General features: G+C 31.6%; 1 protein-coding gene and 1 long non-coding RNA gene across 16 annotated transcripts in view; one reads left to right on the plus strand and one right to left on the minus strand.

Moving 5' to 3' along the window:
- Positions 1 to 19235, minus strand: part of BRINP3 (BMP/retinoic acid inducible neural specific 3) — a 380207-nt gene that overhangs the window by 132354 nt on the left and 228618 nt on the right. For all 14 annotated transcript variants that reach the window (XM_017001129.2, NM_199051.3, XM_017001127.2 and 11 more), the window contains one exon: positions 4361 to 4466. In XM_017001129.2, the coding sequence (XP_016856618.1) occupies positions 4361 to 4466 (106 nt within the window). The remainder of the gene's footprint in view (positions 1 to 4360; positions 4467 to 19235) is intronic.
- LOC105371659 (uncharacterized) overlaps positions 1 to 19235 on the plus strand; it is a 36078-nt gene that overhangs the window by 1048 nt on the left and 15795 nt on the right. The gene's annotated exons all lie outside the window — the stretch shown is intronic.

Consider the following 19235-nt stretch of genomic DNA (forward strand, 5'->3'; position numbering starts at 1 on the left):
AAAAATGCATAATTTGAAATTAAGAACCAATGGATAGCTTTAACAGCAGCATAGACATTTAAGAGATAATTAGGGAACTGAAATATTGCAGAAGAATACGTTTAAAAGGAATAAAAGGGCAAAAAGATATGAAATACAGAAAATAGCATAAAAGATTTGTGTTATGATGGAAAGGCCTAAACCACATTTAAATATAACACAGAATGAGAGGAAAGAAAGGAAATAAATGATATTTGTTAAACAAATATAAAATAATATTAGAAAATTGATGAGGAACGTAAAAAATTGTAAATTAATTTGCAGCATATCACCATATGTTATGGCAAGACAAATAGCTAAGTAAAAATGACCAGCTGGTCAATGTTCTTCAATGCTATTTTGCTCATGAACTACCTTAAATAGTTTTGAAAACATAAGCACTACTTTGGACATGAGTAAGCTCCTGTTTAAAATTTTCGTTATACATAAAAGAGGCCCAAAGCTGGTAAACTGTGGTATTATTAATATGCATATTTTACAATAAAAATATTACTCTGCTTCTATATATGTACAAATGAAATATAATTCCTGTTGATTTGGTAACTAATACATCTTTTAAAAATAAAATTTGAACAAGATATACAAATATAAAAAAAGTATATATGTATGTATAGTGAGTGTATAGATATATGTTTGTGTGAATTATGAGTTTTTAGTAATGACCTTCTTTTTCATACATCTTCTCAAGTGGAAAAAGAATTGTTCCTGAAATAAAATTCTTCAAACACTCACACACACACAGGCACACACATATCTCTTTCCTCCAAGTCATTATTTCATTCGACTATCCCTAAATATTTTTATTCAAATATAATATATTTGATTAATCAATGTGTTTTCTTAATCACAGTCATACTTATCTTCTATAAAAGTAAATAGCTTGAAATGTAAATATGTATACATATATTTACTGAAAATTTAAATAATATTAATTATCATATAGTATAATGTATGGTATATATGATTTCTTGATACTAAAAATTTTAAAAATATTTCTGACAAATTATAACTATCATATGTAATATGCAGTTCAATAGAAGTACACTTATTATAAGTATGAAGAAATATTTTTTTAAAGCAAATATAATCAGCTTTTTGAAAACACATGGCTTGAAGGACTTAATAGGACTTTTTTTGTCTAGAGTGACCCTTCCTTCAGCATAAATTATTATCTGTCTTCATTTTTAAGTATGTAAGCACTGAGAACATGTGATTCAATAAATTAATAAACAGGAACAAAAACAGTTTTTTGAAGCAGCATCATTCAATTTTTATTATAAGCCAAAACACTCATGAACCATCATTAAAAATTACATTTAATCATCCACCTTAAAATAGCCTAGTCCTGTGTCAAATTCATTTAAATAAAATATTGGGAACTAGCTAATATGGAAAAGTGCTTGTAATTCAGTCCTTTAAATTATTCATTTTCTCAAGGTCTGCCAATTTTACCAAAAAATTACTACCAAAACTTAATAAATGACTTTTCATTATTCTGGTTATACTTTCACTCAGAGGCACCTTGTTTGATGTGTTATACTCAGAAGGCATTGAAAAAAATTGAAGTATTATTTCAATATGCATTTGCCAATATTTTCTTATAACTACTTTTTATTATCTACCTTAAATATATTTTCATCAATAAATTGAAGTTGTAGCTATGGCTCTTTTAATTTTTGAAAAATGCCTGCTCTGTAATCTTATCAGCAAAACGAGATCTCAAAGTCCATCTTTTATATATCTTATTTTTTAAAATACTGATTCATATACCAATGGTTAAATCTTAGAGTTCTGTTCTGAATTAGTTGTCTAATCCAGTTGACTTCAACAATTACTGGTGCTTTATTTGCTTTGCTTAGATACAATTCCACTTCAGGAACAATTTTTCTTTTTCTAATGAAAGAGGAGAGTTTCAGAAGTTCTTTATTAAAAAACTGTGATAATTTCAGGATTCTCTCAATAATATATCTAAATTCAGAAGATTCCAAAATGGGCCAAACGCTCTGATTCTAAAACTTCAACATGTACTTAGAAAGAAAACACAACACACAAGCAACTATCTATATCTATTTATCTATCATCTATACCTATATCCATCCATTTATCAGACCAAATATCTAACTAGCTAACCCCAAAAGACATGAAGATCTCTGTTGTTACCTTAGTAAAATATTCTTCAGTGATTCCAGTGTTTTCAATTGCCACATACAGTGACCCAGAAATATCTATACCCTTCAAAGGAATGCACCATGGTAACATTGATCCAGAATTAACAAATTGTTCCCATTAGTTTATAAGGTAGATGAGGGGTAGTACAAAAGGAGAGGTTTAAAAGTTAGCCAACATTATACTTGGATTGTAAATACCAATTAAATTTAAGAAAGAGTGCATGAAATATTGAGGGTCTTGAAATTGACTTCCTAATAGTATTTTCAGAAAGGACTTTGTACCGATAGGTGTATAAATAAAGTTGTAATAGACAATTAAAAATACAGACATGGAAAACAGAAAAAAAGTGAAAGAGATGGAGGTTTCTGAGTTACGCACATTAGTTGAAGAGAATAGAAATAATTATACAAAAGAGAAATGTTGCTTCATTTATTCCTTGTGTTAATTATTTTTCCAGAGAGATAGGGGACTGAAGGATTTTAAAAATAATTTAATATTTTGAAAACTGAACATAGTAATTCAGACACAAATCAATAAATCTTGTTAGTAAATAATTTTTATAATAAACTGATTGAAGTAGTCATACAAATTGGTATAAACGTGCTGTCATTTTTATTGCAATTCATATTCTGAGGGAAGGTTAATCCATACATTAAAAAGGAGTAAGCAGTAGAGAATTGCAAGAAACATTGGTGGACAACATTTTTATTTCAATTAGAGAAAATGTTTTAATAAATGTAAATCTATAATTGATATTGATAAATTGGATAACATTTAAATTGTTAAAGTATTTAAGAACTTTGTACTTTTAATACAACTCAAAATAAAAGGCATTCATTCACTATTTAGGATAAATTTAAACAATTCAATGTTATTACATTTTTCTTTTAATTAATTAATTTTTTTTTAATTTTTTAGAGACAGGGTCTCACTGTCACCCAGGCTGGAGTAACATGATGTGCAGTGTCGCATGGACAGTGATGTGCGGTGTGGACAGCGATGTCCAGGCTGGAGTGACAGTGGAGTGCGGTGGTGTGGTCATAGCTCACTGCAACCTTGAACTCTTAGGTGCAGCAATCCTCCTGCCTCAGCCTCCTGAGTAGCTGGGACTGCAGGCCTGCAACACCAGCGCCCAGATAATATTGTTTTTTAGGTCTCACTATGTTGCCCAGGCTGGTCTTGAACTCCTGGCTTCAACTGATCTTCCTGCCTCAGCCTCCCAAAGGGTTAGGATTGCAGGCATAAGCCACCACGTGGGGACACTGATACATTTTTCAAGATTGCAAAGTTAAGGGAAAAAATGGTAGCATTTCTGAAACTTTTAAGCATTTTTATGTAAAACTGAATAATGTAAATATTCAGCTCTAAGTTATGCAATTCAAAAAGGCATACTAGAGAATAACAACTCAAAATTACCTCTTTGATCAGTCAACTTAATTTTGACAGAAAGTGTCATCACAAAGACTTCTCTGAACTTGTTCAACTAGTAGTGTTTAAACGTGTGTATTCATAACCTGTTCCTGCCTATAAGAATGAGCATGTATGCATAATTATTGTATTTTTAAAAGTTCTTGTGAATAAAATACTCTTTATTGAATATCTAAACTATGTAGTAATAGAAAATAGCAAATTATTTTTATAAAATCTATCTTTAAAATGGAAATCATATGAATATAAATATTTTGTTAATATATCCTTAAGTACATTTCTATTTACCAGGAGAAAAATACAGTCTTGACTGCCACATTAGGTTATATATAAAATGTCAACAGTTCATTTTATACCATGCATAAATATGGTTACAACTTTCACAAGAATCTTTAAGTAAAAAGTCAAAGCTCAGGCAAGCATATGAAGAAACTGCTACATAATGACACAATGATTACTATACGTAAGAAAAATATTATTAGGACAGATTTTCAATTGCTATAGCTTAGTTAATTTGAGAAGAAAAGAAAATTTTTGATATTTTATTCATATGGTCTAGAATTTCATATTTTCTTGTATCAGTTAAATTATGAAATTAGCCTTTAATGAGAGTTTTTAATAGCCTGTATGTATATGCAGTTTACTTTAAAAAATGGAAAAGAAATCACGACTGGATAATTGCTATTCAGGCTTGTAGAGAATTAATGAAATTTTACCAACATACCTTGCAACTGAATCTTATTCTCAGGACTCTGAACCAGAACAGAACTGACAGAATCTAGGTTGTCATAGTTACTGCAGCCAAGAGGACCAGTCCGTGTTTCTGTTACCTGGCAAACAAAACATCAACTTTATTATCTAAATCAGACTTTACAATGTCCTTTTGGTTCACTGTAGTTGTCACACACTAATATTATACGTTTGACAGTAAATATCACTGAAAGGTCCAGGATCTCATACACACCAGCAATACACCCACCTAAACATAGCGGAAAGCAGTAAGTCCCTTTGTCTTTAATTCATTTTCTTTCCTTTGGTTGGGCATAAATATCCCAGGAAAATAATGCATGCCATCTTTGTTCAAAAGCATAACTCATAAAGTCACTGATTTCACCCAAGATATAAAAAAGGCCCACTCCTTATGGAAGACAGCGAGTTCTGACTTATATGAGAATTGTTTGTGTTTGTTTTTACTCAATAAATCAGAGCCATCTGCCAGGCTACTCTCTCAAAACTGATTTTATTATTTTCTTTTACTTAAAAATCTATATTTTTCCCATTTTTATGTTGGCATGAAATTCTAAACTCTCTGTTTGCCTTCCATCTGGTCCAGTTCTTTCCAATATGCCAGTATCTCCCTGTTCAGTTTGACATTCATTCTGTGCCTTTGCTTATACAACATCCTCCACTCCCACCTCACTTGGATTAGAAACTTCTCCTTTCTCAACTTTGACTAATCAGTTTTATCTATCCTCAAAATTAAGCTCATGTTCAAACATTTACACAAAGTATTCCTTGATGATTTCTACCTGTGTTATTTTACCATTTCCATCCAATTTTGGTCTGCAGCACACAGGTTTAGTACTTAAATATGTAATCTCATATGTGGACTGATTTTTTCATGGATGTCTTGGGATGGATAGTATTAGGAGATGAGGAGACTAAATTTAATGAATTTTATGAGGCTGAAAATGTATCCTGAAGATTTAATCCTGAAGATTTAAAACTATTTAAAGCAGAGCAGTATTGTCAGAATCTTCAATAAGATATTCTTTATTAATAACCAGACTGGTCTTTGCAAAACACAATTTAGATAACTTCATTCCAATGTTTACAATCATTTAATGGTTTCCCATTCTTACTTAGGGTGTGACTTAGAGCCTGTTATAGGACAAGGAAGACACCATATTACCCAGCTCCGTGTTACCTCCCTAAATCCGTCTCTTCTCTTATTTATTCTGTCTTGCTGTATCTCAAACATACTTGACATTCTGATGCCTTGGGGTATTTGACTTGTTGTTCTAGTACCTGGAACGTTCTTCCTCAAACTATTTTCTAGCGAATCCTTCACTTCCTTCAAATTTTTGCTCAAATTTCATTCTCTTGGGACTACTTGGACTAACCTACTTAAAGTGAATACCCCAAACTCTTCCAACATTTTTTTCTTTCTTACATTGTTCTACCTTTTTCACAGTAGATATCAGCTTATAAAATGCTGTACAATTTACTCATTTGTTATGATTACTGTTGACACCTCTCACTAGAATGAGAGCTCCACATTCTAAAAATGCGGGAGTTTTTGTCTATTTTGTTCACTCACATATCCACAGAACATATTAAGTTCTTGCATCAGCTGAGGGGTATTGATTAAGAGAAAGAGGAGGAGGAAACATAAGGAGAAACTTCGTAGTATGGAGCAGGAAAGACATTAAGGCCATCATGGAGATGATGAAAGCCTAAAGTAAATAGGTACAATAAACTTTATCTGAAGAAGTTCAATTGTAAAAAACAAGACATAACAAGGTTATGAAATGACAACATTATGAAACACTGCAAGTGTTTATTGATAGAGAGAAAGGCCACTGAGGTTTCCAGTATTAGTGATAACATTCAAAATATGAAGTTAAGAAGCTCACTGTGGAGGATATTTAAAGGAGCTCAGTTTTGAACATGTTGACTCTCTTTGATGAAAATATTTAGTAGGAGTGGCAACACAGGTTTATGTCTTAGAAGTTATGTCAATGACAGGACTACTAATTTGGAAGTCATCAACTTAGAGGCGACAATCAATGATGGATACAGACACATTAACTCAAATGCATTGAGTGTGTGTTTAATTTGTGTCATGACAACTCTATTATATTTTCTAAATGATAACTCCTTGATGGTAACCAAGATTGACTATGTGTAAATAGCCAGAGTTGACAGTGTGGTTTATCATGGGCAAAGAATTACTTTTTCCTTAACACCCCAACAACTTTTAATTATTCTCCACCTACTATTCCCCACTACTGATACTGAATAGACCTTACTTTGTTTAGAGAAATAATGTATAGTGTTGATATGATATGTGTATGTATAATTAATATTTAAATATAAATTAGTGACAGCCTAAGGGCAAAGGGAATAATAAAAGCATCAAAGAGAATACTTAGGGTTTAAGATAATTTAAATTTTCATATTATTCTATCATGTGGTTTCACTATTGCCAACCAACACATATCACATGAATATAAACACACACACGCCTGCCTTTTTTAGAAAGTTTTCTAAGTAAAATTGGCATTAAGCTCATACTCATTGACATAGTGATCTTGGAAAAGGGAAGGTAAACTCCTCTAACACTTCATCCTTAAAAGAAGGTAAATAATATTACCCCATTACAAAGAGTCTCTTATATTCACCTACTCTGTTGTTGTCAATTCATGTAAGAAAATTAAATAATAGACATACGTTTTGAGAATATTTGAATATCTCTGTCCTTATATATTGCTTTACTTTCTCATCATTCGCAATATACAATGATATAAATTTAGCATATCATATTTATAATTTTATTTTGTTCTCTATTCTTCACAACTGAATTCACTGATCACTGTCTGGTTTAATATAAAATTTTACAAACTCTCACACATTATATGAAATAAATCTATCTTTCAATTGTATTCCATTTAAGGCCTCCATATTCCTTACTAATGTCAGCATTAGTAAATGTGCTCATACTTATTTAATTCTTTAAAATAATAATAAAATAAATAAAAATGTAAAGAAAATAAAAATAAATTTACTACAGAGATGCTAACTGTGCCAAAACACAGAATAGCAGTTTACTTGTTTGTTCCAACCTATCATTTTTAATAATAAAAGTAACAAATTCCCATGATGGAAATTTAAGCAATGAAATAAAATACTTTGCCAGAGGAGCAATTGCCATTTTTTCTACTTTTATATGTTTCCCCTATCCTTTTGCCAGACATGAAAATGGTTGAGACTAGGAGTAATTGCACTTCAAGACTATTCTTTATTCGCAGCACACAAATATCATGGCCTTTACCTTTTCACACTGTATTTCTCATTAATTATTTTATTTGTTTCCTAGTTACATTAGGTTATATCAAAGTAACTTCTGAGTAATTTTATCAGCCATCAATTATGAACATAAAACACTGGAATACTGATAAGTACAATTAGCTCTTTTACAATAGAGTTATGCCCAAACAGGCATAATCTAAGACTTTCCATCTGAAATCAATTTTCTCTTCTAGAGACCTACATCTCATCTGGACAACTACAAAATGAATGTTAATATTTAAGAGGGGATTTTGCCCATCCTATATTGTAACAAGAAAACCACATCTGAAATATCAGGAGTTGAGGTGGGGGAGTAGTGAAATTTGTTACTGATACCTGCATCTTGACAAACTGCTATACCAGTTATTTAATTTTATACATTTTGCCCCTGTTTACCTTAGATATACTCTATTATACTGTCCACTTCAATTGTCTCCTTTTCCAGAAATAAGTGTTTCTATTTTTTAATCATTCAAAAAACTTTGGGTTGAGAAGGTAGAAACTATACTAGAGAACAATAACTATATTTGGCTCGTATTCAATTTCTGATATCTTAACATTTAATATAAGAATTGATACTTATTATTAAAATAGAAATAAAGATTTAATCTTACATAATTAGTATTAAAAATTTATTCACTACATACTCTGTTTTTTAAAAATATTGATTAACATAGTTGCAATTCATATATACAGCAAATGGCTCATATCTAGAATATATAAATAAATTCTACAAACTAACAATAATATGGCAAGAGCAACACTGAAAACTCACTTGACAAAAAAGATATATAAACATCCAGTAATTTTGAAATAGTTTTCAACTTTATTATCAAAGAGCTGGAAATTAAAACATAGTGAGAAACTACTATCCATTCACCAGAAAGTCTTATAAGCATACAAAGCCAGACGATGCCAAGTGGTGACAATACAGTGGAGAAACTGGAATTCTCATATGCTGCTGCTGGGAGTTTAACTCGTACAATCACTTTAGAAAATTCTTTGAAAGTATCTACATAAGTAGACACAGGCACATTATATGAGCTAGATACACAGCCAACAAAAATGTGAACATGTGTGTACAAAAGGCACTTGCAATGAGGTTGGTATCAACTATTCTTAGTAACCCCAAACAGAAGGATATTACATTAGTGTGTTAGTCCATTTTCATACTGGTATAAAGATGCTACCAGAGACTAGGTAATTTATAAAGGAAATAGGTTTAATCGACTTGCAGTTCCACATGGCTGGGGAGACCTCAGACATTTAAAATCATGGCCGAAGGCAGAAGGTGAAGGGAAGCAAGACATGTCTTACATGGTGGCAGGTGAAAGAGAGCGAGGAAGTGCCACATTTTAAAACCATCAACTCTCCTGAGAACTTACTATCACGAGAACAGTTTGGGGGAAACCACACCCATGATCCAATCACCTCCTACCAGATCCCTCCCTCATCATGTGGGGATTACATTTTGAGATGAGATTTGGGTGAAGACACAGAGCCAAACCATATCAAGTGGCAATCAGTAATACAATGTGGAAGTACATAGAAGATATGAATACTGTACTACAGTAAGAATAAATTTTTATGTATTCTGTCCACAGAATACTGAACATGAACAAATCTCACAAATACAATGTTGAAGGAACAATATATAAATGTTTCAATATTCTAACACTAGAAGTTTATTTTGCCTAATCTTGAACTTCCATTAATATAAAGCTCAAAATTAGGTAAAATAAACTTCTAGTGTTAGAATACAGGATGGTGGTTACCCTTTCGATATAGAAATGAGGTAAGAGGGCATTAGGATAAATACTTATGTTCTAGAAATATCCTATTTTTTAATCTAGGACATGGTTGCTGAAATGTTTTCAAATTTGAACACTTTATGTACTTCGCTGTATAAATGTTATATGTTACTAATATTTGCTAACAATAATTGGTTAATATTAATTTTCCTTGTGAATTATATCAAGGAAGGTACCACATCATCTATATCTATATTTACATATGTATGGATATCTAGACATCTATCTACTTACCTGTTTTTATCAATCATCCATGCATATGTAATAAAATGCAAATTTGGATTTTCATACATATATCCTTTCAAATGCATAAATATTCTAATATAGTTTCGCAAAAAGAAAATGCTGAAATCTGACACTGAAAGATTATGAAAAACAAACTACTTTTTTCAATTACTAATATGAGTTTATTTTAAAATCCAATACAATCTATTTTAAATCATCTTAGAATACGTCATTTTTTTTTTATTTCAAGGCTACAATTACTACTGTTCTATAATTGAAGATATATAGATGATAAATTATCTTCTATTTATTAGATAGATAATAGACTAGGAACTAACTTGACTAGGAACTAACAGGTTAATATCCATATTTCATTTTTAAGTATGCACTATTCCAAACCATATATTTACCTAGAATGAAAAAAATAGTTTTTTCTTGTAAGTTCACATCTAAATAGCAATAAAAAGGATGAATAAATAAGCAAGTTATTTTAAATATGCAATTCTTATTATTATAATTACTATGCAGGTTTCCTTTGCCTATAGAAATGCTTTTTAGAGTATTTTCAAATAAATCATTATATTTAATGAGATAAAAGTTTGTTAAATTTATATAGTTTATATTCAAAACACAAATCCTAGTGAATATAGGGGTATCAGAAAAAGACCCCATAGGTCTACTTGCAAAAAAATTTTAAAGCAAAATTTCTTTTAAAACAGTTTGTTTCAAACAGTTGTTTAAACAAAAGCAAAAGCACTGTTTCCCCAGAGTTAAAAATTATCTGAGGAGTAGATAGATATATGAAGAATTAGGGTATTAAAACTCTCAAGTGGGGGTGGGTGTGATTGCTCAAGCATGTAATCCCAGCACTTTGGGAGGCCGAGGAGGGGTGTATCATCTGCAGTCAGGAGTTTGAGACCAGCCTGATCAACAAGGTGAAACTCTGTCTCTACTAAAAATACAAAAAATTAGCCGGGTGTGGTGGTGGGTGCCTGTAATCCCAGCTACTCTGGAGGCTGAGGCAGGAGAATTGCTTGAACCTGGGAGGCGGAGATTGCAGTGAGCTGGGATCGCTCTATTGCACTCCATCCTGGGCAATAAGAGTGAAACTCTGTCTCAAAAAAAAAAAAAAAAAAAAAAAAAAAACCACCCTCAAGGTATTCTCAGAAATATAAAAATATCTTTAATTTATTTTATTTTACCTCAAAGTTTCCATTATGTTTTATTATGCCCATCATAAAATTGCAGGGCAATAATTTATTTCTATTATCTCCTTTAATTAACTATAAACTCTCTATGCATAATTATACACAGTACTGGGCACATGGTAGAAATTAAAAATGTTTGGATTAAATTGGTGGATAAATATTTTAATTTTAGTTAGAAATATTTATTACAAAAGAAAATTTATTGAATTTTTTGGGAACCTCTTGAAGAAAATGTAGAAGAGACAATATATCTAAATTTTTTAAGCTATCAGAAGTTTGAAATCATCTAGTTTCACCATCTCATTATATAAAAGAGATGCTGTATCTGGATGAAGTAGTTATCAAGCTACTTCAGGATCATTTGTATGAAATGAGAGCTAGAACTGGGACTTAGACCTCCTAACTCATAAATCAAATACCCATTCTAAACAACACACTGGCTTTCCAAGCTTTATAGTTAACAAGTTTTGGAAACTTTGCTTGGCTTAATCAATGTAATTAATTCTCTCTCTCTCTCTCTCTCTGGCAATAAAGTTACAATAAAACACAATTTAATTGGTCTAGATTGATGTAGAAGTCAATTACAATGGTGTAGTATATTGGGTCATTCATGAACAAAAAATATTGCTATGAATGTACTGGTTAATATGACTTTGATTGAAGGCCAAATGAATTAACTTTTATTCTAAGTATGAATTTATTAATGCTTTGAAATATAACATCCTGCATATTCTTATATTACTTCCCACTAGGATTGTGAAGAGTAAAATACAAGTGTTGATTAGTTTCTATTATTTCCTAAAACAGTACAATCTTTTCTGTTACCACACATATAAGATCTTTTAAAATTACATATTGCTAAATCTATTAAACTAACAAAATGCTTTATAAAATTTTGATGTTAAAAAATAAGAAAATATATATTTTCCCTTCATTTCTCAACTGAAGATAGTGCCTTATAATATTTTTTCAAATGTTAATATTGAGTTTAAAGGTAATTTTACCATTTAATATTTTTCCTCTGATAGTCATTAAGTCTTATTTCAACATTCTATTAAGTACTTAATATCAGACTGCAATTCAATGTAGTTCCACTTTTTTACCCAGTTGAAATATTTCTGAGCTTATTTTTAGTAAAAAATGAATTTTCAAACATATTATTAATTATAAGATGCATTAAAAACAAAATGTTCGTCTCAGAATAAACATTTCAGTAGCAAAATGTTTCTTAATTTTCAAAATTGTTTTAGTATTTACAGTGTATTTTGTGGGAAAAGTGAAAATTCACATAAAAATGCTACATGTCCTCAAATAAAAAATATATCAATGCAAAATTTTCTTGCATCTCAACACAAAAGTAAGCATTATACTTAGTGTGTTATACATAATTAATATAGTGACTTAAAATATATTTAACATTGTCAATATTTTCTTGGGCCTTCTCCAAACATATAGATACAGTTTAAAATAGTGTATGATATATTATTCATCCAGGATGACTCACATCTTCACATAAAAAGCACAAACACGGATAAACACATTCAGTGCAAGGGAACTTATACCACTGTTGAATTATGCATCTATGCAAATTACTTGAAGCTGACAACTATATTCTCTAATTTTATTCCTCATAATTTTAATAAACCAATTTTTTAAAAATATTAGAAGTTTATAGAACTGCATTTTTAAAAGGTAGTGTTTGGTTTTTTTATTTGCCTTTTACAGGAGAAATAGTGATACTCGAAACATAAGGATCGAAAGTATGATTGCAAACAATATCATGTATATCCATAAAGTATATGCAGAATAACTGTGAATTATAAAATTTAACCATAGGAAAAAAATGTAGAGCAAAATATATTTATTTGAAGTAAACTGAAGGTTACGTGAGAATAATACAAAAAACAAAGCACTCTATTTAGGAACAAAATTGAGTATGTCTTCTTGAAGAGTAATTGCTTCAGTGCAGTTTTCACTTGTGTTTGTTACCATGAGGCCAGGCACGACTACAATGATTGGTCTACTTCTTCATAGCCTATAAATTATCCTCTATCAAAATAATACACAAGCACACCACCCTCAACTATCCCCATGTAAACCTAGTGAGAGAGACTATGCTAATTCTTTGAGTACACATTAAAATATAAAACTACACAGTGACTAGACAACAGAAGTTTTCTAAGGTTCTTAAATTATTGATTTAGTGTGATATGGAATAAGCAAAACTGGACACAATTTAGTTAGGACAAAGTTGCCAAATAACATCAGGACCCCTTTGTGCTTAAACCATGGTTGCCATGGAAATTAAATGTGTGGCACTTGATTGGTCTTGGAGATGCCAAGTCTGTAAACTCACTCCCACAGATGTTATTTTGACTTTTTTTTTAGATAACACAGAGCTTAAAATCACAGCAACTATAAAAAATACATGTAGCCATAAAAAAGCTTTCATTACTTTCCTAATTGCATGAATATACATTTAGAAAACTGACATTTTTATAAAAACTACATTTGTGGCAGCTATAACTGATGGTGTTACAAGAATGGTAAACTTGAACTTCATTACAGGAAATCTAAAGGGATATGTTGTTACTCTAGCTGGGCTAATGAGTTTTCTGAGGTTTTCAATATTAATAATAATAAAAGTAAAGCTTTATTGCCACAGGGAGTTACAAACAATAGGTACAGTTTGCAACCTGGTTCAGGGCTGTGGCATTTCCCTTGCACTCTGGTGAGAGTTACTAGGCAGCGACCTCAGTTCTTACAGCCACTGTCTGGCCTGAATGCCACTTTTCCTGGGCCAGAGAAATGATATTTCAAGGAACTCAGGAGCCAGGGTAATTTTCTGTTTCTTTACATTCAAAAAGTGTAATCTAAAGCAGTGTTGATTATATTCATTTTACAAATGAAAGCTATCTGAAGAAGTAAAACATTAAAGACTGATTTTACTTTTTAATCTTTATTGTTTTTCTATGCATTTCAATCTCATTGCCTTTAATTGTCACTGTCTCTCATCACCCCCAGATGGGACTGTCTAGTGGCAGGAAAACAAGCTCAGGGATCCCACTAACTCCACATTACAGTGAATTGTATAATTATTTCATTACATATTACAATGTAATATTAATAGAAATAAAGTGCACCTTAATGTAACGAACTTGAATCATCCTGAAACCATTCCCTCCACTAAGTTCGTGGAAACAATTTTCTTCCATGAAACCAGTTCCTGGTGCCAAAATGGATGGGGACTGTTTGCATAGACTAACTTATAATTGTGCAAATCCCACTAAAGTTGCAAAAAAAATATCTGTTGCCAAGACTGGGAAGCAAAATGTCACACTAAACAGAACTACTCCCTTTATTAATTCCTACTTCCTACTCTATAATTTTATTTATCAAAACATTTCTACATCTACCCAATCTGCTCGATTGATACTCACCTAGCATCTCAGTCAAGCAAACTGCAAGCTGATGCTCCAAATGATACAAAAACTTAGAAATTGAATTATCTGTTTTGCTTTCTTTGACAGAGTAACTAAAAATGTTCAGGTGCAAATGTCAAGTGCTGAATGAAGTAAAAGCACCTATCACCATCCTGGAAGACGATGGCAGCAGAATCCAGGGCATTGACAGCTAATCACAGCTAGCAGTGCACACAAAGCAATCTGTCACTGTCAAAATCCCGACGAACAGTCTTTCCATAAGATTCTCTGCTATACTAGGGTACTAAAGCAGGGAACCTCGTTAGATACACACATTTTAGTTGTTTAACATTTAATACAACTATTTCATTATTATTACTTTTAATTTTCTCCTACTCAATGTAGGAGCCAGTATAGTATATTAGAACATATCTCAAAGTGCCCACTATTTTATTTCGAGTAAATACTTCTATCAAAAATTTTCAATTTCTCCTCTGAAATTCCATATTTAATATTACTCTTCTGAAATATTTATTTAAACATATCTTATTGCTTAAAACTTAAAACTTTTTATTATAGCCGTTTGAAGTTTCAGCATTATCAAATATTTCTGAATTCCTTAAGCATATCAAAAGCTTCTGTCCTAAATAATAGGACAACTAATACCTGTGCACAGACTAGCTAAAGTTTTATACTGAGGCCGTCATATTCTTACATTTGTCACCCAATTAAACAAGCACCCGAGAGAACTGATAAAGCGCAGCACACTAAAACTCAACAGACTCAAGCATAATTAGAAAGACAGAAGTGGATTTCTTGTTTCAACTGGCCATTATAGAAACTGTTCTGTCATTTCTTTTCTTTTTTTTTTTTCAGAAAAATAAATTGGCTTTGCTCACAAAAAAGTTAATACAAATCCAAATTCTTTAGGAACTTATTATCAGTAAAAGTCAGCAGTAATATGACATTAAAAGAACAAATTAATTATATAGGAGAAAGAAGAAACATATAGTGTGCATGAATTACAAATAATTATTAAAATTCTAAGTGCCAGGGGAAAAAAACAATAAACTGGCCCAAACTCTCTGCAATATTATAATCATATTATGCAGTGCTGCCCACTCCCCCAGTTTTCTTTAACTGAAACATCATCAGCTATGTTAATTATTTATCTTAAAAAATAACAAAAATGGAAAGGACAAGAAGTTTAGTGATTTTTTTTTCTTTTTTTATTAAACTTTAAGTTTTAGGGTACATGTGCACAACGTGCAAGTTTGTTACATACGTATACATGTGCCATGTTGGTGTGCTGCACCCATCAACTCGTCATTTACATTAGGTATATCTCCTAATGCTATCCCTCCCCCCTCCCCCCACCCCACAACAGGCCCCAGTGTGTGATGTTCCCCTTCCTGTGTCCATGTGTTCTCAATGCTCAGTTCCCACCTATGAGTGAGAACATGCGGTGTTTGGTTTTTTTGTCCTTGCGATAGTTTGCTGAGAATGATGGTTTCCAGCTTCATCCATGTCCCTACAAAGGACATGAACTCATCATTTTTTATGGCTGCATAGTATTTCATGGTGTGTATGTGCCACATTTTCTTAATCCAGTTTATCATTGTTCGACATTTAGGTTGGTTCCAAGTCTTTGCTATTGTGAATAGTGCCGCAATAAACATACGTGTGCATGTGTCTTTATAGCAGCATGTTTTATCCTTGGGTATATACCCAGTAATGGGATTTTTAAAGTATGTATTTGTTGGAAAAACATTTTAAAAATAATTTAAAATCCAATGTGAAATACAACTGCAATTTTTGTGTTCCTCTTCTTTCTATAACTTTTCCACTATATCTTCATCTCCTTACATCATTACCTTCTTGACTATTTCCTCTAGAGACCAGAATCCCAGAGGAACTTTGTACCTTCATGGTACCTCTGGGACTTCATGAAGCTTTAATTGGCATCAAGGGTTTCTTAGATTGCAGCCAATCCACTAACAATTTGCTCTGGGGTCATTCGGTTATAAAACCCCAGGTCTATGAATTTTGGGTCTCTAGAAGTTGTCTTTAACCATACAACCAGGTGATTGTTAGCTCACTTAACACTAAAATGCACCAAGTTAGAAAAAAAAAATCAGACAGGAGAAAAATGATTCTTCACTGGGTAAATATTTCAATTTATGTGTTTTACATTTTTCTATGGAACAGACTACAAACTAAAATTACTATTCATTCAAATTTAATTTACTTAATATTATTGAGGGAAAAACTTTTGATAATATGTTGAGAATTTGGCTTTCTGCCATGAACTAAATGAAACCTGATGAAATGTAGGAGCTGTTATTTTAGCTGTTTTATGTGGCTTGCCTCCTTTTCCTACATTAATTTAATTTTACTTATTGATGTAACTGTTGTGCCTTCTACCAGCAGCCCTTTTCATCACTCTCTAAAACTTGTTACAAATCTATTATCAGTGAAGAAACCAGATAAGCAACCTAGGTAGATTTGTTCCTGAGTAGTTTCTAAATGAAAAATTACAGGAATCTCACACATCTAAAAGAATGAAAATTATGAAGTCTCTTTATATTACTCAGGCACCTTCTCCACTTGCCTTTTTGTGTTCTGACATATTAAATATAGTTTAAGCTATGAAGAATAACTTGAAAATTTTTTAAAATTATATATTTCAAGTTACAAATAACCGTATTATACATAATCCTATTGTTATGCTAAATTTTCTAGCACAGAGCATGAAGCAATTCGGTTACCAAAAAAAAACACACCATAGATTTAAAACTGGTTTATATTTTCAGGTTTGTCACTTACTAGCTGTGTAACTAGAAGTATGAAGCTCCTGAGCCTCAGGAGTATTCTCCCCAGATATAAACGTTAAAATAATTTACCTGCAATACCTGTGGAAGGAACTTATCTTTACAAATATGCATTTTTGTTTTAGAAAAAGGAAGCAGACTCCAAAGTGTAATTTTTTCATTAGTCAACATTATGGTAACAATGTGCCAGTATTCCTAGCTATCAGAAATGGTGCATTTTGTCTATGCTGATGGATGAATAACTGCACAGAAGAATTGCATTTCACAGATATTGGTACTTATTGGATTTTTGAAAATATACAATAAATTATAGTTAAGCATATTCACCCTATAGTGCTGCAGAATGCCAGAACTCATCTATCCTATCTAGCTGTAACTTCGTATCCCTTAACAAATCTATCCCCATCTTCCACTCTCCCCTATATTTCCCATACTTCTCACCCTCTAATACCCACAATTCTACTCTCTACCTCTCTACTTTCAGGAATTCCTTTTTTCTTTTCGTCCCACATGTGAGTGAAAGCATGTAGTATTTACCTTTCTGTGCCTGACAACCTGCTTAACATGATCTCCTCCAAGCTATTCCATGTTGGCGCGACATGATTCTACGGATTTTTAAAAAATAAATTACCTACTTACATTTCCAATACACATTTCCAATATATTTCAAGGTCACAGACCGTTGGGGTCTTACATTTATGGGTTCCCCCTAGACACTCTATCTTCGACAAAGTTTGAACTTTGTCATTTGTACCTTGAGCCACATGAGAATAAAACAAAAGTAGCTCAATCCATCTGATTCAGCAAATGCTATGGAGATCTCAGTGTCCCCTCTTTGCATGGTTTCTTTTTTATTCTGGTTTCAGAATATCCTTCCTATCAACTTATGAATACACAGAAGAATTCTTTTATTTTTAATCCATAATTTTAGTTATTTTAGTGGGAAATCTGTGTCACCTCTTGCTATTAGATTCGTGCAAACGTAATTGCGGTTTTTGCCATTACTTTTAATGGCAAAAAAGTACTTTTGCTTTTATTTTCCTTTGTTTTTTTTAAATTCATTGTATTGATTTAGTCAAGTTGCTATTTATTTTTTATTATAATTTAATCTAATTGCACATCTGCCTTTCATTAATAATTTTCTCCCCTTTGCCAATGCTAATAATTGAAAACTCTTACTCTGATATAATATGAAAATTATATTTCACCAAAAAACTCTATTCCATAATGTGCCACCTGCCCATTAAGATACTATCGTCTTAATTTTTCATTCTTTCATTCTCCTATCTCTACTCTCCACCTACCCAGGGTACTTTCAGAATTTTTGTATTTCTATTCTCCCCTCCTTTCAAAAATGTTTCAGGAAAAGACTTTTGTATGTTTATTTTTTTTCTGATTGCATAGTTCTAAACTAGGATATCAATTTTTTTGCATTATGTCACATTTGTTATTATTTAAAACATAGTACATATATTCAGAGTCTGTGAGTTTATATGGAGATTTGAACTCTATGACTATATTTATATACATTCAAACACACACACACACTCATACACTCACAAACACCTATATATTGTATTGCATATGACATCCTAAATTTTCTTATATTTTTCTTTACTTTCATCTTATGGTTATGAGACAGACTTTCTGTTCATTTTTATTTGTAACAATTCTCCATTAAATAATATATTATTCTCAAAAGCAAATTATTTGAGACTATAGTTCTCAAATTTTCAAGAATTTTCCCTATCAGCTATATTTCTTTAGAGGCTTATAGTGATTTTTCTAAAAGATATTGCTTTTTGTGGGATGCCTCAGAGTATGTGTTGCTATTTTTTTTTCTTTATTTGCTCATTTGGACTCCAGTTCAACTGCAAGAATATTAGAATACTTCATTGGTAGCAACCCTGAGAGTACTGGAAGACTACTAGAGAAAACCATGCCACACAGCTGTAGCTTAAATAGAACAGCAGTAGCCTATTAGTTCTCAAATAAAAATCATGTCACGTTCACTTATGTAAGCCTATTCCC

The sequence above is a fragment of the Homo sapiens genome, chromosome 1, assembly GCF_000001405.40.
Source record: "Homo sapiens chromosome 1, GRCh38.p14 Primary Assembly".
NCBI lineage: Eukaryota > Metazoa > Chordata > Mammalia > Primates > Hominidae > Homo > Homo sapiens.